The sequence below is a fragment of the Homo sapiens genome, chromosome 4 (assembly GCF_000001405.40).
Source record: "Homo sapiens chromosome 4, GRCh38.p14 Primary Assembly".
Lineage (NCBI taxonomy): Eukaryota > Metazoa > Chordata > Mammalia > Primates > Hominidae > Homo > Homo sapiens.
Genome location: NC_000004.12, coordinates 118,615,033 through 118,636,346, shown reverse-complemented (window position 1 = coordinate 118,636,346; position 21,314 = coordinate 118,615,033). Strand labels below are relative to the sequence as shown.

The 21,314-nt window shown below is 49.1% G+C and overlaps 1 pseudogene across 2 annotated transcripts in view; it reads right to left on the bottom strand.

Moving 5' to 3' along the window:
* Nucleotides 1-1,321: 1,321 nt before the first annotated feature.
* Nucleotides 1,322-21,314, bottom strand: part of LOC729218 (uncharacterized) — a 43,282-nt pseudogene continuing 23,289 nt past the window's right edge. The window contains exons 6-10 of one of the 2 annotated variants that reach the window (NR_109983.1): nucleotides 18,228-18,351; nucleotides 14,820-14,884; nucleotides 8,121-8,311; nucleotides 6,001-6,058; nucleotides 1,322-5,907 (exon numbers count right to left, since the gene is read on the bottom strand). The product of NR_109983.1 is annotated as an uncharacterized LOC729218, transcript variant 1 (transcript). Of the gene's footprint in view, nucleotides 5,908-6,000; nucleotides 6,059-6,285; nucleotides 6,419-8,120; nucleotides 8,312-14,819; nucleotides 14,885-18,227; nucleotides 18,352-21,314 lie in introns of those variants that run through there. The other variant, NR_103825.1, reaches the window with a different exon arrangement.

Below are 21,314 nucleotides of genomic sequence, written 5' to 3'. Positions count from 1 at the left end.
TCTGGGCACCTCACTGATCTTCAACTGCAGGTGAAACGGATGCTGGTGGTGGGTGCAGGGCCACTGGGAGCCGCTGCATGGTTCCCAGAGGCTGGACTGGGGCAGGTGCCAACTGAAGCTGCTGGGGCAACATGGGCAGGATGTTCTGCACACAAACCTTGGAGAAGAAGATGTGTGCATAGCGGGTCCACTGCTGCTGCCCCTGCCCTGACTCCCAGCCCTGCCTGACCCCACCTCACCCTGCTCAGGCTCTGGCGCAACCCTGGCTGCCCTGCCACTGCCTCTGCCCCAGAGCTGGGGCCTTGACAGCCTGGTTGGAAGGGGACACCCCAGCCCTGCCTCAACACCTGGGGGTCTCCATAACTACCACAGGCAGGTGGGCGACCCCAAAGAAGATCCCAGGACTCACAGTACCCCCTGAGAACATGGACAGTATGTGGGGGTAGCAATGGAGGGCAGGATGGTTATCTTCTCCCAGGTAAAGCCATTTAATCCTTTCAGTTTGGGACGGAACAAGGCCTGCTTTTTTTTTTTTTTTTTTTTTTGAGACCGAGTCTTGCTCTGTTGCCCAGGTTGGAGTGCAGTGGTGCGATCTTGGCTCACTGCAACCTCTTCCCGCCGGGTTCACGCCATTCTCCTGCCTCAGCCTTCCGGGTAGCTAGGATTACAGGTGCACGCTACCACGTCTGGCTAATTTTTGTATTTTTAGTACAGATGGGGCTTCATCATCTTGGCCAGGCTGATTTCGATCTCCTGACATCATGATCCGCCTGCCTCCCCCTCCCAAAGTGCTGGGATTACAGGCGTGAGCCACCACGCCTGGCCAAGGCCTGCTCCTCTTATCTATACCCCCTACCCCTGCAGCTGTGCCGGGGGAAAGCTGGGCAGTTTCCCTCCTCCGAGCCCCTGTATGTACCATGAATTGTGGGACCTTCAGAGCTTTTCACTTTTTGGAAAATAGCTCCTGCTGGGGCTTCAAGATGGAGTGTGAAGAGAGCCTTGGGCCACAGGGAGGTGCCTGTGGACTAGGGGGAGTTCATGCACCCCTTCTTTCCCCAGAGGGGCTGGACTCAGGTGAGTATGGGGGTGGGGGCTCCTACACTTCGACACAGGCAGCGGGAGGGTTTTCTCCCCATTCCCTCTGCACTCCCAACTTGAGCTATACTTTTTAAGAAAGTGATTCACCCTGCCTTTGCCCCCTTCCCCAGAACAGAACACGTTGATCATGGGCGATATTTTTCACTGTGCCAAAAAGTTGCCATGACCGTCATTAAACCTGTTTAACACTAAATAATAAGGAAAATAAAATAAAAAATTCTGGCATGGTGCAGAAACTCACTCCAAATAAATTACCTACCAAAATATATAATGGTGGAAATATTCCAAAATTCCATATTTTGGGATTTATACACAAAAGATAAACAAATTAGAGGCCAAGAGGCTGCCGGAAGGGAAAAACGGGGCCTGGGAAGGCCGTTGTGAGGAATGAGCTGGGCCTAAAGAGGCCACTGGCAGGCAGGAGCTGGACCTGCTGAAGTGGCCGAAAGGCAGGAGCTTTGGACTGGGGAGGCCACAGTGAGGCGAGAGCTAGCTGGGCGTGGAGAGTCCGCTGTGAGGCCGAGGCCGAGGCCGGGCCCGTGCAGGCCTTTGAGAGGCAGGAGGCCGGGCCTGCAAAGGCCGACTGGAGGTCAAGTTCTGGGCCTGAAGAGGCCGCCAAAAGTCAAAAGCGGGACCTGGGAAGGCCGCTGAGAGCCATGAGCTGGGCTGGGCTGAAAGAAGCCACTGGGAGGCAGGAGGAGCTGGGCCTGGAGAGGCTGACTCGAGGAACTTTTGCACCCGGAGAGGCCGCCAAGAGGCCGGAGCTGGGCCCGGGGAGGCCGACTTGCTCTCTTCCAGGCCCAATTCCAGGCTGACTTGAGGATGACTTGGGCCTGCAGAGGCCGCCGGGAGGCCGGAGCTGGGCCTGGAGAGGCCGACTTCAGGACGATTTGGGCCTGCAGAGGCCGCCAGGAGGCCCAAGCTGGGCCTAGAGGAGCCCACCAACCGGAGGCCGTTTGGGGCCTGCAGATGCCATCAGAGGGCAGGAGCTGGCCTGGAGAGGCCACCGTGAGGCCTGAGCTGGGCCTGGGGAGCTTGGCTTCGGGAAGCTGTGGGCCTACCAGGGCCGCTGGGAGCTGGGCAGGAGCTGAGTCCAAAGACGTTGTTGGGAGGCCAAAGTCGGGCCTGGAGACGCAGCCGGGAGGAAGAGCTGGGCCCGGAGAGGATGCCGGGAGGCTGCAAGTGGGTCTGGAGAGGCCGACTTGAGGAGGTTCTGGGCCCGGAGAGGCCGCCGGAAGGGAAAAACTGGGCCTGGAAAGGCTGTTGTGAGGAATGAGCCCCATGGGCCTGAAGAGGCCACTGGCAGGCGGGAGCTGGGCCTGCCGAAGCGGCCGAGAGGCAGGAGCTTTGGACTCGGGAGGCCGCAGTGAGGCGAGAGCTAGCTGGGCGTGGAGAGTCCGCTGTGAGGCAGAGGCTGGGCCTGTGCAGGCCTTCTGGAGGCAGGAGGCCGGGCCTTGTCGAGGCCTGCAGAGGCCACCGAAAGTCAAAAGCGGGGCCTGGGAAGGCCGCCGGGAGGCATGAGCTGGGCTGGGCCGAAAGAGGCCACTGGGAGGCAGGAGGAGCTGGGCCTGGAGAGGCTGACTCGAGGAACTTTTGCACCCGGAGAGGCCGCCAAGAGGCCGGAGCTGGGCCTGGGGAAGCCGACTTGAGAACGACTTGGGCCTGCAGAGGCCGCCGGGAGGCAGGAGCTGGCCCTGGACAGGCCGACTTGACGACAGTCTGGCCCTGCAGAGGCCGCCGAGAGGAAGAGCTGGGCCTGGAGAGGCCGACTGGAGGAAGTCCAGGGCCTGGAGAGGATGCAAAGCAGCAAACGCTAGGCCTGGAAAGGCTGCCCTGAGGCACGGGCTTGGTCTACAGAGGCCACTGGGAGGCAGGAGCTGGGCCCGCAGAGGCTCCCGAGAGGGAGGAGCATTGCCCCAGGAGGCCACGGTGAGGAAGAGGTGGGCCTGGAGAGCCCACTGTGAGGTAGAGGCCGGGCCTGTAGAGGCCGCCGACAGGCAGGGGATGGGCCTGTTGAGGCCACGAGAGGCATGAGCTGGCCCTCAACAGGCCAGTGTGAGACAGGAGCTGACACTTGGGCAGGTTGCAAGAGGCATGAGTTGGGCTGAAAGAGGCCACCGTGAGGGAGGAGCTGAGCCTGTACAAGCTGCCAAAAGGCAGCAGCAGCTTTGGACTGGAGAGGCCGCAGACAGGGAAGAGCTGGGTGTGGAGAGTCTGCTGTGAGGCAGAGGCTGGGCCTGTACATGCCCTCGGGAAGCAGGAGGCTGGGCCTGGAGAGGCCGACTTGAGAAAGTTTTGCTCCTGGAGAGGCCACTCAGAGGCAAGAGCTGGGTGTGAAGAGGCTGACTTGAGGTCGATTTTGGCCAGCAGAAGCCACTGGTAGCTAAGAGGTGGCCCTGGAGAGGCAGACCTGAGGACAATTTTGGCCTGTAGAGGCCACTGGGAGGGAGAGCTTGGTCTGGAGAGGCCAAGTGGAGTAAGTTCAGGGCTTGGAGAGGATGCACAAAAGGAAACGCTCAGCCTGGAAAGTGTGCTGTGAGGCATTAGCTTGGCCTACACAGCACTTGGAGGCAGGAGCTGGGCCTGCAGAGGGTGACTTCAGGATGATTTTGGCCTGCAGAAGCCTTTGGGAGGAAGAGCTTGGCCTGGACCGGCTGACTGGAGGAAGTTTTGGGACTGGAGTATGCGTCAAAAAGCAAAAGTTAGGCTAGGAAAGGCCACTTCGCGGCATGATCTTGGCCTACAAAGGCAATTGCGAGGCAGGAGCTGGGCCTGTAGAGGCTGCTGAAAGGCAGGAGCTTGGCCTTAGGAGGCTATGATCAGGCAAGTGGTGGGCCTGGAGGGTCTACTGTGTGGTAAGAGTCTGGGCCTGTGTAGGCCGACATGAGGCAGGAGCTGAGTTAGGAGAGGCCAACTTTTGGAGAATTTGGGCCTGCAGAGGCTGCCAGGAGGCAAGAGCTGTACCTGGAGAGTCCATCTTTTAGCATGAGCTGGGCCTAAAGAGACCATTGTGAGGCAGCACCTGCCTGGGAGGCAGGCAGATTCGTGGCCTGGGGAGGCCACCGTGAGGCAAATGCTCAGTTTTCGGAGGATGCCATGAGGCAGGGAGAAACTTGGCTTTCGGTGGCCGCAGTGAGGGAATAGTTTGATTGCTGAGGCTGCTGGGAGGCCGAAGGTGGCTGGAAAGCTTTACTTTAAGAAGTCTGTGGCCTACAGAGGCTGCCAGCAGCTCAGCAGGAGTTGGGCCAAAAGAGGTTGTTGTGAGGCAGGAGACGGGCCTGTAGACGCACTGGGAGGATAAGCTCGTCCTGGAGATGCCGAGTTAAGGACATTCTGGGCCTGGACAGGCTGCAAAAGGCAAAAGCTGTGCCTGGAAAAGTCGCCATGCGGCATGAGCTTGGCCTAAAGAGGCCACTGCAAGGCAGGAGCTGGGCCTGTAGAGGCTGCCGAAAGGCAGGAGCTTCGCCTGAGGATGCCACAGTGAGACACCATCTGGGTCTGGAGGGTCCACTGTGAGGCAGAGGCTGGCCTGTAGAGTCCGACAGTAGACAGAAGTTAGGCAAAAGGCTGATTTGAGGAAGTTTTGGGCTTCAAGAAAGAGTCAGCCAGGAGGCAGGCACTAGGCCTGGAAATGGCCCGACAGTCATGAGTGGGGCCTAAATGGGCCACTGTGAGGGAGGAGCTGTGCCTGTTGAGGCTGCTGGCAGGCAGGAAGAAATTTGGCCTGGGGCAGCTGCCATGAGGCAAGAGCTGGGCTTGGAAAAGCCCCTGGGAGGCAAGAGCAGGGCCTGCAGAGGCTGTTCTCAAGTCAAAGCTGGGCCTGTTCATGCCACCAGGAAGCAGAAGGTGGGCCTGGAGAGTATGACCTGAGGAAGTTTTGGGCCTACATTGGCCGCCATGAACTGGACAGGAACTGGGCCAAAAAAGGCTGTTGTGAGGCAGCAGTTGTGCCTGTAGACTCAGCCAATAGGAAGAGCTGGGCCCGGAGAAGCCCCCATGAGGCAGAGGTTGGGCCTGTAGATGCTGACAGGAGGCAGGAGCTGGGCCGGGAGAGGTCAACTTGAGGAGATTTTGGGCCTTCATAGGCCACCAGGAGGCAGCAGTTGGGACTAGAGAGGCTGACTTGAGTAAGTTTTGGGCCCGGAGATGACGTTCTGGGACAGGAGCTGTGCCTGGAGAGGTCACCGTGAGGCATGAGCTGGATGTAGAGAGGCCAGTGTGAGGCAAGACCTGGGCCTGTCTAGGCTGCTGGGAGACACGCAGGAATCTGGCCAGGGAAGGTTGCCATGAGACGAAAGTTGGGCCTGGAAAGGCCCTTGTGAAGCATGAGCTTGGCCTAAAGAGGCCACTGGGTGGCAGGAGCTGGGTGTGTAGAAGCTGCTGAAAGGTTGGGAGCTTGGCTTGGGGGGTCCACAGTGAGGCAGATGCTGGGCCTCAAGAATCTGCTATGAGGCAGATGTTGGGACTGTAGAGGCCGACGGGAGGCAGAGGCTGGGCCTGGAGGGGCCACCAAGATGCAGGAGCTGGGCCTGGAGAGGCTGCAAAGAAGCATGAGCTGGGCCTGGTGAGGTCGACTTCAGAAAGTTCAGGGCCTGGAGAGAAGGCTGGGAGGCAGGAGCTGGGTCTAAAGAGGCCATTGTAATGATGGAGCTGTGCCTGTGGAGGCTGTTGTGAGGCAGTAGGCTCATCTGCGGAGACTGCCGTGAGGTAGGGTATGGGCCTAAATAGGCCATTGTGAGTCATGAGCTTGGTCTGTAGAGGCTGACTGGAGAAAGTTCTGGGCCTGGAGAGGCTGCCGGGTGGTAGGAGCTGGGCCAAAAGATTTAAGCACATTTACATTTATTAGGCACTTCATTTCCATTATTACACTGTAATATCTAATAAAATAATTATAGAACTCACCATAATGTAAAATCAGTGGGCGTGTTAAGCTTGTTTTCCTGCAACTGGATGGTCCCACCTGAGCGTGATGGGAGAAAGTGACAGATCAATAGGTATTAGATTCTCATAAGGACAGCGAAACCTAGATCCCTCACATGCACGGTTCACAACAGGGTGCGTTCTCCTATGAGAATCTAATGCTGCTGCTGATCTGAGAAGGTGGAGCTCAGGCAGGAATGTGAGCAAAGGGGAGTGGCTGTAAATACAGACGAAGCTTCCCTCACTCCCTCACTCGACACCACTCACCTCCTGCTGTGTGGCTCCTTACAGCTCCATGGCTCAGGGGTTGGGGACCCCTGCTCAAGTGCATCCTAAGCGACCCTTCCCACACCAGTCTTCATAGTGGTCAAGTGCAGCAACCACTTAGCTCCCAAGGCATGTGCCTCAGCTGGCATTTCATCACAATCAACAGTAAGTGCTAGCCTGAGTCATTGTGAGGTCACTTCCTGGAAATCACCAGCATCCCATTTCCTACTGGCAAAGAGCTCAGCACTGCCCCCTGGGAAACCAAACCTATGCCCAAATCCCATCTGTGTGGGTTTATCTCCTGGGACCCTTCCTAACATATTAGTCAGAGTCCAATCAGGAAGCATAAACCACTCAAAAGTTTAAAGTGGTAAAATTTAATACGGAGAATTATTCATTATAACAGGTGAACAGCATAATGAGAGACTGGCTAGCACAAAGTAAAGAGAACTCTAGAGAATACAGGACTAGCCCAGGCCAGGCATGGTGGCTCATGCCTGAAATTCCAGCAATTTGAGAAGCTAATGCAGGAGGATTGCTTAAGCCCAGGAGCTAGAGACCGGTCTGGACAACACAGTGAGACCGTCTCTATCCAAAAAAAGAAAAAAGTTAGCTGAGAGTGGTGGTGCACACTTGTAGTCCCAGCTACTCGGAACGCTGAAGTTTGAGCCTGGGAGGTCAAGGCTGCAGTGAGGCATGATTATGCCACTACAGTCCAGCCTGGTGACAGAGCAAGACCCTGTCTCAAAGAACAAAACAACAACCACCATTTACAGACAGAAAAGAGATAGAGCTAATAAGCTAAGGAAAGATGTTGAAATGTGACAAGTAAAGTAATATGAGGTCTTTTATCTATTTAAAATAATCAAACAAAAAATGACTTACTAAATTATAATACCCTGTGCTGGCAAAGGTGCAGTGAAATGGGCACTTTCTTATACTATGAGGGGTGTTTAAATTGTGTATAAGCCTTCCCGGGTAAAGCTTGTCAATTTCTGAAAATAATGGAGACAGGGTCTCACCATATTGCCATACTGCCTCCTCCAACTCTTGGCCTCAAGCACTCCTCCTCTCTTAGCCTCCCAAAGTGCTAAGATTATAGGCTGGGAGGCACCCAAAACCCTGTCAATTTACATCAAGGGTAATGAGAATGTCCATTCACCATGTCTCACAGTAATCTTACTTCTGGGGAGACAATTCAATCTAAACAAAAGGTCATCTGTACAAACACAGTAAAAATCTGGGAGTAACTGAAGACAGAGTTGGTAAGTGAAATAAGAAACAGTTATAAGAAATTAAACTATGATATCAATAGGCACCTGGTATAAAAGGTCAGTTAATGTTAGCTGCTACTTTTTTGTTGTTTTGAGACAGGGTCTCACTCTGTCACCCAGGCTGGAGTGCAGAGGCCTGATCATGACTCACTGCAGTCTCAGCCTCCCTGGGCTCAAGTGATCCTCCCACCTCAGCCTCCCAAGTAGCTGGGACTACAGGAACATGCCACCACACTAAGCTAATTCATGTATTTTTCTGTAGGGATGGTGACTCCCCCTTTGTTTCCAAGGCCTATCGCAAACTCTTGGCCTCAAGCCATCCTCCTGCCTCAGCCTCCCAAAGTGTTGCAATTACCAGTGTGAGCCACCACACCTGGCCAGCTGCTACTTTTAGCAATATTATTATTATTCCACTCAATTAAAAATTATTATTTTCAAGGCTATGCAACAGTATGTATCCTACAGCGTAATTGTAAAAACATATACAGTCGTCGTCCCTCAGTATACAGAATTAGTTCCAGCCCCCCATCTCTGCATATACCAAAACCCATGCTTACTCACGTTTTGCTGTCACCCCTCTGGAATCCACTTATATGAAAATTCCAAATATTAGTTGGGCATGGTGGCAAGCACCTGTAGTCTCAGCCACGTGGGAGGTTGAGATGGGAGAATCACTTCAGCCTGGAAGGTTGAGGCTGCAGTCAGCTGTGATAGCACTACTACACTCCAGCCTTGGACAACAGAGGGAGACCCTGTCTCAGAAAAAAAAACAAAACAGGTTAGAAATTGTACTGAGGTCTGTTGGGCAAAATTCCATATAAGCAAAGTATAAATTAATAAAGCAAATCGTGATAAATTAGTACGATTGACTTTCTGGAGTTTCTGACAATAAAAGTAAGGAAAATGCAAAACACAAAGACAGAGAGTAAAAAGAGAAATTAGGAAAGCATTCTACATGTTTAATAGGAAGACGCTGGCCATGGTCGTGCAGCGGCAGTATGTCGTGACATGACATACCTTGGAGAGAAGTTAACAGATGAGGAAGTTGATAAAAATCAGAGAAGCAAAATACTGGTAGTGACACTCAAGTAAACCACGAAATTTCCATAACTTATGTCAGCAAAGTGGGAATATTGTACAGTGTGTGTTGAAGTTCCTATACAACATTGTTTATCTGCCTTTTGTTTGTTTGTAAGGAATGTATATACTAAAAGTTCTTCTTGCTGTCAAAAGAATATGTGTGAATAAGTCATTGTAACTTATTCTTCTGTTTTTCTTTTATCTTCCTGCCATCATCCCACAGCCTTACTTTAGAAATTTTTTCTTTAGAAAATTGAACAAGTGCTCCTTGTGGTGGCACATACCTCTAGGATGGGAGGCAGGGGTGGAAGGGTCACTTGAGGCCATTAGTTTGACACCAGCCTGGCCAACAAAGTGAGACCCCATGTCTACAAAACAATTTAAAAATTAGCCAAGTATCGTCATGTGTACCTACAGTTCTAGCTACTCAGGAGGCTCAGGTAGGAGGATCCTTAGCCCAGGAGTTCAAGGCTGCAGTGAGCTGTGATAGCACTACTGTACTCAAGCCTGGGTGACAGGGTGAGACCCCATCTCCTAAAATAAAAAACAAAGAAAAAAAATAGTTCAAGTAGCAAGTTGTATGTGGCTTACTCTGAATATTTCTAAACTAGAAATTCTCAATCTTTTGGGGTCTAACATCCCTTGACATTTTTTAACTTTATTGAAGATCTCTAAGACTATTTCTTTCTGTAGATAATTATATTAAAACTAGAAAATAAGAAACAATTTTTTAAATATTATTCATCACATATTAAAGCCATTACATGTTGATATAATACAAGATTTTAAAAATATTTAATATTCATTACATATTAATAATAAAACCATGACATGTTGATATAATACTTTTTTTTTTCTTTGAGACAAAGTCTTGTTCTTTCGCCCAGGTGGGAGTGAAGTGGCGCAATCTCAGCTCATTGCAACCTCCGCCCCGCAGGTTCAAGCGATTCTCCTACCTCCGCCTCCCAAGTAGCTGGGATTACAGGCGCCCACTACCACGTCCAGCTAATTATTGTATTTTCTTAGTAGAGAAGGAGTTTCGCCATGTTGGCAAGGCTGGTCTTGAACTCTTGACCTCAGGTGATCCACCCGCCTGGGTCTCCCTAAGTGCTGGGATTACAGGTGTGAGCCACCGCGCCCACCCCGATTAATATATGTTTTAAAACACTGATTAGTCAGGCAACAACACCGGGCAGGGGTCTCCTCATTCCCAGCGACGCAAACCCCACTGCACGGCTGAGGGGTTGCAAGGGCTGCAGAGCCAAAAGGCTCTGACTTGAGATATTATTTTACTTGTATTTTTATTTGTATTGTGAGACAGGTCCTGTCACCCAGACTGGAGTGCAGCTGTGCACTTACAGCTCACTGCAGCCTCGACTTCCTGGGCTCAAGCCATCTTCCTGCCTCAGCTCCCCAGTAGCTGGTAGTACAGTTGAGTGTCACCATGCCTGGTTATTTAATTTTTTTGTAGAGTGAGGGGTCTTGCTATGTTGCCCAAGCTGGCCTCAAACTCCTGACCTCAAGAGATCTGCCCACTTCAGCCTCCTGAGTAGCTGAAACTACAAGTACACATCACCATGCCTAGCTACATTTATTTAATTTTGAAAAATATTTTTGTAAAGAGCAGATCTTGCTGTGTTGTCCAGGCTGGTCTTGAACACCTGCCCTTAAAAGATACTCGCACCTCTGCTTACCAAACAGCTGGGACTACAGGCATGAGCCACTGCAATGAGCCTGAAGAGATTTCTTTAATCTAGCATCCCATACTTGGTAGGACTGGGAAAGGCAGTAGTGTTTTTTAAAATTACTTAATAATTTCAGTAACAATCAAACTCAACCTTGACCCCTGCCTTCTCTCACACCCCATATCCAGTCTGTCAGGAAATCCTGTTGATTGTCTTCGACATCTACTAAAGATCCCCACCCAGCAACTCCCTGGCCTCCTCCCCTAGTTCTCCCCTCTGACCATCTCTCAACACCACCACGACCCTGGTCAGGACCACCATCATCTCCCGCCTGGATGTTGCCAAAGCTTGGCCCCCATGCTTCTATCACATCTTCCCACAGTCTTTCTCAACTCAGCAGCCAGAGAATGCTTTTAAATCGGGAGACAGATCACGTCGCCTCTCTGCTCAGAACCCTCCCGCAGTTCCCATCTGAGTCAGAGTAAAAGCCAAAGCCCCACCAATAACCTCCCAGGGCTTATGTGATCTGTACTGATCCCCACCCAGCAACTCCCTGGCTCCCTCCCCCAATTCTCTCCCTCTCTCCATCTGCTCCATGGGCCTCCTTCCAGAGCCGGAGACACACCTCAGACAGTTTATTCTATTGTTTCTGCCTACAATCCTCTTCCCTCAGCACCTTGGCCAGCTCCTTCCCCTCCTTCAAGTCTTTACTCAATTTTCACTTAGGAGGCCACCCCTGACCATTCTAGTTAACATTGCCATCTGTCCCCATGCCCACCATGCTCATTTCTTCTTTCTTTACTTTCTTCTTTCTTTTTTTCAAGATCTCACTGTCACCAAGGCTGGAGTGCAGTGGCGAAATCACAGCTCACTGCAACCTCAAATTTCCAGGCTCAAGCGATCCTCCCACCTCAGCCTCCCGAGTATCTGGGACTCCAGGTTCATGCCACCATGCCTGGCTAAATTTTTTAGTATTTTATTTTATTTTATTTTATTTTATTTTATTTTGAGACAGAGTTTCACTCTTCTTGCCCAGGCTGTAGTGTAACGGTGCGATCCCGGCTCACTGCAACCTCCACCTCCCAGATTCAAGTGATTCTCCTGCCTCAGCCTTCCAAGTAGCTGGGATTACAGGTGCGTGCCACCACGCCCAGCTAATTTTTTGTATTTTTAGTAGAGCCGGGGTTTCACAATGTTGGCCAGGCTGGTCTCGAACTCCTGACCTCAGGTAATCTGCCCGCTTCGGCCTCCCAAAGTGCTGGAATTATAGGCGTGAGCTACCACGCCTGGCCAATTTTTTCATTTTTTGTAGAGACAAGGTCTTACTATGTTGCCCAGACTGGTCTTGAACTCCTGGCCTCAAGTGATCCTCCTGCCTAAATTCCTAAAGTGCTGGCATTACCGGCATGAGCCATCATGCCTGGCTTCATGTTCATTTCTTCTTGCTGCTGCAACATAGTTTGAAGTTTCCTACATTTAGTGGCTTAAAACACCACAAATCTACCATCTTACAGTTCCAGGGGCCAGAAACCCAAACTAGGTCTATTAAGGCTAAAGTCAAGGTGTCAGCAGGGCTGCATTCCTTCTGGAGACTCTAATATGTTCCCTTGGCTTTTCCAGCTTCTGGAAGCCACCCCCATTCCTTGGATCATGGCCCCTGACTCCATCTTCAAAGCCAGAGGTGAAGCATCTTCAAATCTCCCTCTCTTACCTCTGCTTTCATCACCACATCTCCTGCTCCAATTCTGAATCTCCTACTCTCTTTCTTTTATAAAGACCCTTGTGATTGCTGGGCATGGTGGCTCCCACCCAGAATCCCAACACTTTGGGAGGTCAAGGCAGGAGGAACACTTGAGGCCCGAAGTTTGAAACTAGCATGAAAAACACAGTGAGACCCCCACCTCTAGAAAAAAATAAAAATAAATATTAGCCCGACATGGTGGTATGCGCCTGTAGTCCCAGCTACTTGAGAGGCTGAGGTGAGACAATCGATTTAGCCCAGGAGTTTGAGATCAGCCTGGACAACATAACTAAATCTCATCTCTACAAGGACGAGGTGGGAGGATCACTTGAGCCCAGGAATTTGTGGCCAGCCTGGGCAACAAAAGAAGACCCCATCTGGCCAACATGGCCAACCTGGCCACCATGGCGAAACTCTTGACTACAAAAATGAGCTGGGCATGGGTGACATGCATGTGGAGTCCTAGCTACTTGGGAGGTTGAGATGGGAGGATTGCTTGATCTCAGGAGGCCAAAGCTATAGTGAGCTATGATCACATCACTGCACTCCAGCCTGGATGACACAGGAGATTCTGTCTCAAAAAAAAGAAAAGAAATATATATTTAATCTCTGTCCCTGGTTCGTGGCACAGAGCTTCTAAAGCTCTTACAAAGACCTCAGTGATAGATGTGACAGGAACATCTTTTGTTTTAATATTTGGTCTTGGTCCCAGGTTTCTAACACAAGAGCCTCTAAGAACTTTGGGATCTCCAGCATGGTAAGAATGCATTTGGGGATGTTGTTCAGATGACTGGGTGACTGCAAGCTCCTAAATTTCCTCAAGAGGAGGGCTGATTACCACGCGACCACATGGTAAGAGGCTTGGAACTTTCAGCCTCGTGCACTGAACTCCAGGAGGAAGAGGGGCTGGAGACTGACTTAATCACCAACAGCCAAAGATTTTATCAATCATGCTTGCATAATAAAGCCTCCATAAACACCCTGAACGGGGTTTGCAGAGCTTTCAGGGTTGCTGGACACAGGAGATGCTGGGAGGGTCGCATGTTCAACAGAGGGCATGGGAGCTCTGTGCCCCTCCGAACTTAACTTGCCCTGGGTATCTTTCTTTTTTTTGAGACAGGATCAGGCTCTTTTGTCCAAGCTAGAGTGCAGTGGCACAATCTCAGCTTACTGTAACCTAAGCCTCCCCAGTCCCCAGCTCAAGGTATCCTCTCAACTCAGCTTCCCTAGTAGTTGGAACTCTAGGTGCACAGCACCACACCGGTTATTATTATTATTTTTAAATTTTTTATAGAGACAGGTTTTCACCATGTTGCCCAGGCTGGTCTCAAACTCTTGAGTTTAAGCGATCCTCCCACCTTGGCCTCCCAAAGTGCTGAGATTACAGGCATGAGCCACTGCATCCAGCATGCACGTCTCTTTCATTGACTGTTTCTGAGATGTATCCTTCACAATGAACCAGTAATAGGAAATGAACTGGCCAGATGTGGTGGCTCACATCTGTAATCCCAGCACTTTCAGAGGCTGAGGTGGGAGGATCACTTGAGACCAGGAATTTGTGGCCAGCCTGGCCAACACAACAAGACCCATCTATACAAAAAATAAAAGAAACTAGCCAGATGTGGTGGTGCAGGCATGTCTACTAGGGAGGCTGAGGTGGGAGAACCACTGGAGCCCAGACAATCAAGGCTGCAATGAGCTATGACTGCACCATTGCACACCAGCCTGGGCAACAAAATAAGACCCTCTCAGAAAAAAAGAAAATAAACTGTTTTTCTGAGTTCCGTAAACTGTTCTAGCAAATTATTAAACCCAAGAAGACAGTTATGGGAACCCCCGATTGGTAACAGGTTGGTCAAAAGTACGGTGACAACTTAGGACTTGCCATTGGCATCTGAAGTGAGGATGGCCTCGTGGGACTGAGCCCCTAACTTGTGGGGTCTGTGCTAACTCCAGGTAGTGTCAGAATAAAGTCATGGGATACCCAGTTAATATCCAGAGCACTGAAGAATTTGGTGTAGAAACTCCATACATACATTCAGTCGGAAGTGTGTGAGTAGAGACAAACATGGGCTTTTCTGTCACTTACCTGCTTAACTGCATAGGAGAGGCAATATGTGGTGCTCATGAACAAAGCAAACATTAAAATCAGACCAAACCCAACATTTGACTCAGTCTTAATATCCAGGCGAGCTTGGGCAAATCATTCATTATTCCTAAGGCTTCATCACTCCATTCATAAAATGGGGATAACTGTGGCACCTACCTGTGATTCTGTGAGAATTAACGAAATATTATGCTTGGGGTTATTGTGATCATTATACCTATTCCAAACTATTTGACAAGGACAGTGATGGATGATGACATCAAAAAATCAGAAACTGCAATGAGGTCTCTCAGGCAAAATTCCATACAAGCAAATTACTGTGTCTACAAAGCATTCCTGCCACACTTAATTCACCATTCCCTGAACAAAATATGCCATCTTTGTGGTTCAGGTCTGTACAGTGCTGGTTTCCCTTCCCGGGCAGTTTGCGCTATCCCATCCCAGCCCATTCCCCATCCCTCCACCTCCCCCTTCCCTCCCCACTCTCATACAACTCTTCCTCATCTTTCAGGACTTGGCTTCAATGTCACCTTAACTGGAAGCTTCTCTCACTCTCCAGAAGAGCTTCCCATTGCACTTGATGCATGCACTAGATGCATGCACTATTATTTGATCATTTTTAAGTTACAGTCCAAATCTTTTTGTACCTGAATAACATGTTGCCCAGTCAGTCTCTCTTCCTGGATTCAGAAGTCTTTCATGGTAGATCCAGCTGGAAGTGACAAAAAGACATCTTTTGACATAAAGGGATGACACAGACAGACATAAGTTCTTACATGTCTTAAATGTTATGTGAAAATTAAACAGAATTCAAAGACTTGTGGGGAACACTTAGGAGGGAAAGTTACTGGGAATGTCATAAAGGGTTAATTTGTATTTTATTTTATTTTATTTTTTGAGACAGTCTCATTCTGTCACCTAGGCTGGAGTTGTGGTGCAATCAGGCTCACTGCAGCCTTGACCACCTGGGCTCAAGTAATCTCACTTAATTTTTATCTGGTTTAAGAAAGTCTTGGTTGAGGGTGGTGACCTATGCCTGTAATCTCAGCACTTTGGGAGGCTGAGAGAGGTATATTACTTGAGACCAGGAGTTTGAGATCAGCCTGGGCAATATATTAAGACCCTGCCTCTACCAAAAAACAGAGTGAGTGTGTGGAAGACAATTTTTCCACAGACTGGGAGTGAGGGAATAATTTCAGGATGATTCAAGTGCATTACATATATTGTGCACTTTATTTCTATTATTACTACATAGTAATATATAATGAAATGATTCTACAACTCACTATAACGTAGACTCAGTGGGATCTCTGAGCTTGTTTTCCTGCAACTAGACTGTCCATCTGGGGTGATGGGAGACAGTAACAGAATATCAGGCATTAGATTCTCATAAGGAGTACACAACCTAGATCCCTCGCATGCACATTTCACAACAGAGTTTGTGCTCCTATGAGAATCTAATGCTGCTGCTGATCTGACAGGACATGGAGCTCAGGTGGTCATGCAAGCGATGGGAGGGGCTAGAAATACAGATGAAGTTTCCCTTCACTCGCCTGCTGCTCACCTCCAGCTCTGTGGCCCTGTGGTTGGAGACTGCTGCTCAAGTGCATTCGAAAGGATCCATCCCATGCCATTCTTCAGAGTCATCTTTACTGCTGCAGTGGTCAACTTGTAGCACCCCTAAGCTCGCAGGACATATGCTTCAACTGGCATTTCACAATCAACAGTATGTGGTAGCTTGAGTCATTGTGAGGTCACTTCCTGGAAATCACCAGCATCCCATATCCCATTAGCAAGGAGCTCAGCACTGCTCCTTGGATAACCAAACCTATTCCCAAATCCCATCTGTGTGCATCTATCTCCTGGTACCCTTCCTAGCATCAATTCTGTATTTGTAGGAGTCCAATCAGGAGACACAAACCACTCAAAAGTTTAAACTAGAATGAGCAAGATGGCTCACACCTGTAATCCCAGCACTTTGGGAGGCCAAGGTGGGTGGACTGCTTTGAGCTCAGGAGTTTGAGAACAGTCTGGGAAACATGGTGAAACCTCGTCTCTACAAAAAACACAAAAATCAGCTGGGTGTGGTGGCACTTACCTGTAATCCCAGCTACTCGGGAGGCTGAGGCAGGAGAATTGCTTGAGCCTGGCAGGTGGAGGCTGCAGTGAGCAGAGGTTGTGCCACTGTACTCCAGCCTGGGTGACAGTGTGAGACCCGGTATCAAAAAGAAAAAACATATATATATGTAAATTTAATATAAAAAGTATTAATTTTGGCCAGGCACAATGGCTCATGCCTGTAATCCCAGCACTTTGGGAGGCCAAGGCAGACAGATCACCTCAGGTCAGGAGTTCGAGACCAGCCTGACCAGCATGGAGAAACCCCATCTCTACTAAAAATACAAAATTAGCTGGGCATGGTGGCACATGCCTGTAATCCCAACTACTCGGGAGGCTGAGGCAGGAGAATTGCTTGAACCCGGCAGGTGGAGGTTGCGCTGAGCCGAGATAGCGCCATTGCACTCCAGCCTGGGCAACAAGAGTGAAACTCTGTCTCGAAAAAAAAAAAAAGGTATTAATTTTTACAGAGGATCAGCACAATGAGGGACACGCTAGCACAAAGTAAAGACAACTCTAGAGAGTACGGAACTAGCAGAGGCCAGGCATTGTGGCTCATGCCTGTAATCCCAGCAATTTGGGAAGCCTAGGCAGGAGGATCGCTTGAGGTCAGGAGTTGGAGACCAATCAGTGCTAAATAGTGAGACTCTGTGTCTACCAAAAAAAGAAACATTAGCCAGGTGTGGTGGTGGTGCACACCCGTAGTTCCAGCTACTTGGGAGTCTGGGGTGGGAGAAATCCCTTGAGCCTGGGAAGTCTACACTACAGTGAGCCAAGATTGTGCCACTGTACTCCAGCCTGGGCGACAGAGTGAGACCCTGTCTTAGAAAGAAAAAAGAAAAGAAAGTGTTAATCCCCCTATGGGAATCTCCTCTTCTCCTGCCCTCTCTGGAACCTCACTTGTCAGTTCTTCCTCCCACTTTCCTGTATCTTTAACCTATCCCCCACTTTTAGCTCCTTCCCATCATCATTTAAATTACTCAAACTTCTTCTGTTTTAAAAACCTCTCCCTAAACTCAGTGAGAGGTCTCCTGCACACCCATTGAGCCATCTGCTCTCCCTGGCGCCTTCTCTACAGCAGCCTGAGCCATGTCTCTAATCCATGAATCTCATCATGTTACTCCCCCATTTACATCACTTCTCCTTGCCTCAGGGATTAAGTCCAAACTCCTTAACAGCCCCTGCTCTGCCCTGCCTTGCAAGGCAGCCTCACTGCTTGCCCCTCTCCATTTCATCTGCTATGGAGTCCAACTGAGCCTCATCTGCCCCTTCAACGCACACTCTTTCTCCTCTGGGAGTCTCTGAAGTGGGTAATATCCTCTGCTTATACTATGCTTCCCCTTAAACCTCTACTCTCTTCCTAGCTAGCTTCGACTCCTCTGTCACTTGTCCGCTTTGGCATCACCTCCTCATAGAAGACTTCTCTGACTCCCGAGATTCTCAGGAGCATGGCAGGTGAGGTGCTCCTCCCATGAATGGATGGAGATTAGGGAGTGTGTGTTATTCATGCTTAATTCACCAGTGCTTAGCTGAGTACCTGGCATAAAATAGTTACTGTGGTGGCCAAAGTAATAACCCCCACCGCCACCAATTGCTCATGTCCTATGTTACACAGCACAATTACATAGGAAGGGGGAATTAAGAGTGCAGATAAAATTAATGTTGCTCATCAGCTGACCTTAAAACAAGATTATCCTGGAGTATCTAGGAGAGCCCATGTAATTACAAGCATTCTTTAAAACTGGAAGAGGGAGGCAGAAGGTTAAGAACCAGAGACGGTGGGCACAATGGCTCATGCCTGTAATACCAATACTTTGGGAGGCCAGGGCAGGAAAATCCCTTGAGTGCAGGAGTTCAAGGTCAGCCGCGGCAACATACTGAGGTCCCATCTCTACAACAAAATAAAAACAAAATTCACTGAGTGTCACGATGCTTACCTGTAGTCCCAGCTACTGGGAAGGCTGACATGGTAGGATTGCTTGAGCCTGGGAGTTTGAGGCTATAATGAGCCATGATAGGACCACTGAACTCCATCCTGAGTGACAGGGCAAGGTCCTGTTTCTAAAGAAAAAAAGGACATTGGAATCAGGGTCCTCTCCATCCTGAGGTGCCTACAAGGCATCTCTCTCTGCAAACGAGTAAACATCACCCTCCAACTCCTTACAGAGTGGAGCAGCAGGAAAACTCCTTCACCTCATTTCTGTGCTGCTTGGGAGGCCTGGACAGCCCAATAACCAGCTCCTTGCTGATGAAGCAATCAGGAAATGGCTCGAGTTGAGCTAAGGAGAATTTGGATCCTTCTTTTGGTTCTCAATAGGCAGGGTAGGGGCCAGGCATGGTGGCTCATACCTGTAATCCTTGCACTGTGGGGGGCCAAGGTGAGAGGATTGCTTGAGGCCAGGAGCTCACGACCAGCCTGGGCAACATAGCAAGACCTGGGTGGCATACACCTGTGGTCCCTACTACTTGGTAGGATGAGGTGGGAGGATTGATCACTTGATCCCAGGAGTTTCAGGCTGCAGTGACCCATGATCACACCACTGCACTTCAGCCTGGGTGACAGAGCCAGACCATGTCACAAAAAGTTAGAAAAAAAAAAAAGAGAGGGAGAGAGACGATACACAGGCACCACCACATTTGGCTAATTTTTAAGTATTCTGTAGAGACAAGGTCTTGCTAGGTTGCCCAGGCTAGTCTAAAACTCCTGGCATCAGGCTGGGCATGGTGGCTCATGCTTGTAATCCCAGCACTTTGGGAAGCTAAAGCAGGCAAATCACCCGAAGTCTGGAGTTCGAGACCAGCCTGGTCAACATGGTGAAACTCTGACTCTATCAAAAATACAAAAATTAGCTGGGCAGTAGTGGCGTGTACCTGTAGTCTCACCTACTCGGGAGGCTGAGGCAGGAGAATCACCTGAACCTGGGAGGTGGAGGTTGCAGTGGACCCCATCACTGCACTCCACCCTGGGTGACAGAGCGAGACTCTGTCAAAAACAACAACAACAACAATAACAAAAACAAATACAACAACAACAAAAAAAACTCCTGGCATCAAGACATCTTCCTGTCTTAGCCTCCCAATGCCCTGGGATTATACTGTTTCCTATAATTGAAGACACTTGTTCTTATACTGCTTTAAGGTATAAAGGAAGAAAAAAAAAACAGATAATGGCAAATGTTGGTGAAGGCCGGGCATGGTGGCAGCCTGCAATTCCAGAACTTAGGGAGGCTGAGGTGGGCAGATCACTTGAGGCCAGGAGTATGAGACCAGCCTGGGCAACATGGTAAAATCTCATCACTACAAAAAAAATATAAAAATTAGCCAGGCATGGTGGCATACACCTGTAATTTTCAGCTACTCAGGGGGCTGAGATGAGAGAATCACTTGTGCCTGGGAGGTCAAGGCTGCAGTGAACTGTGATGGCATCATTGCACTGCGGCCTGAGAGACAGAGCAAGCCCCTATCTAGAAAAAAAAATGTCAGTGAAGATGTGGAGGAATTGGAACCCACATACATTACTGGTGGGAACATAAAATCGTGTAACCATTTTGTTTGGGTATTTCTTTTCTTGTCATTTTAATTGGATTTTTAAAAAATCAACACAGGGTTTCACTATCTTGCCCAGGCTGGTCTTGAATTCATGGGCTCAAGCCATCCTCCTAGCTGAGCCTCCTGAGTAGCTGGGATTACAGGTGTGAGCCATTGCACCCAACTGGTGTAGCCACGTTAGAAAACAGTCTGGCAGTTTCTCAAAAGGCTAAATGTACAGTCATCCTATAATGCAACAATTTCACTCCTAGGCATATATCCCAGAAAAATAAAAATATATGTCCACACAAAAACTTGTACAACAATCTTCATAGCAGCATTATTCATAATGACCAATACATGGAATACATGGAAACAACCCAAATATCCACCAACTGATGAACAGATAAACAAAATGCAGTGTGTCTCTACCATGGAATACTGCCATAGAAGGAATGAAATATTGATACACACTATGACATAAAGGAACTTTGAAAACACTGTGCTAAGAGGGGAAAAAAGCCACAAAAGATCACATATTGTACAATTCTATTTGTCCAGATTAGGCAAATCTATAGTGACAAAAAAATTAATCAATGGTTGCCTAAGGCTGGGGGCAAAGGTAGGTGGGGAGAGTAGGAGGTAGTGGCTGAGGGGTATGGATTTCTCTATAGGGTAATGAAACGTTCTAAAAGTGACTGTGGTGATCGATGCACAGCTCTGTGAATATTCTAAAACCTACTGAATTGCAGATTTCAATAAATAAAGTGAATGGTATGTGAATATTTTAATAAAGCTATTATTTAAAATAATAATAATAGGGGGCTGGGCACAGGTGGTCATGCCTGCCTGTAATCCCAGCACTTTGGGAGGCTGAGGCAGGAGGACCACTTGAGGTCAGGAGTTTTGAGCCCAGTTGGAGCAACGTGGCAAGATCCCGTCTCTATGATAAAAAATTAGCTGGACATGGTGGCACATGTCTGTAGTCCCAGCTACTTGGGAGACTGAAGTGAGAGAACCGCTTGAGCCCAGGAGTTTGAGGCTACAGTGAACCATGATCATGTCACTGTACTGTAGCCTGAGCAACAGAGCAAGACGCTGTCTCTGAAAAGGAAAGAAAACAAATGCAAGTTTTTATCACTTTATGAGTGCAGCCAAGTTGGAGGAGAAATAGACAATAATAAAAGAGCACTGAATAATGACGGTGAGTGGCTGGTTAGGCTCAGTTGCTAGCTAAATGGCTTCTAAAAAATTCAATAAAGTTACAGCTCTGGGGACAGTCATGTAGTCAAAGAATGAATGCTAAATTCATTACAAATGCCCATGGTCTTTATTTACATGCCTTCTAGTGAAAAATTCCTAAGTGCCTAAATAGCAAGTCTGCAATGATAGCAGCTGTTTATTAAAGACTACAAAAAAGAAATGGAGGCCGGGCGTGGTTGCTCACATCTGTACTCCTTGAATTTTGGGAGGCTGAGGCAGGCAGATTGCCTGAG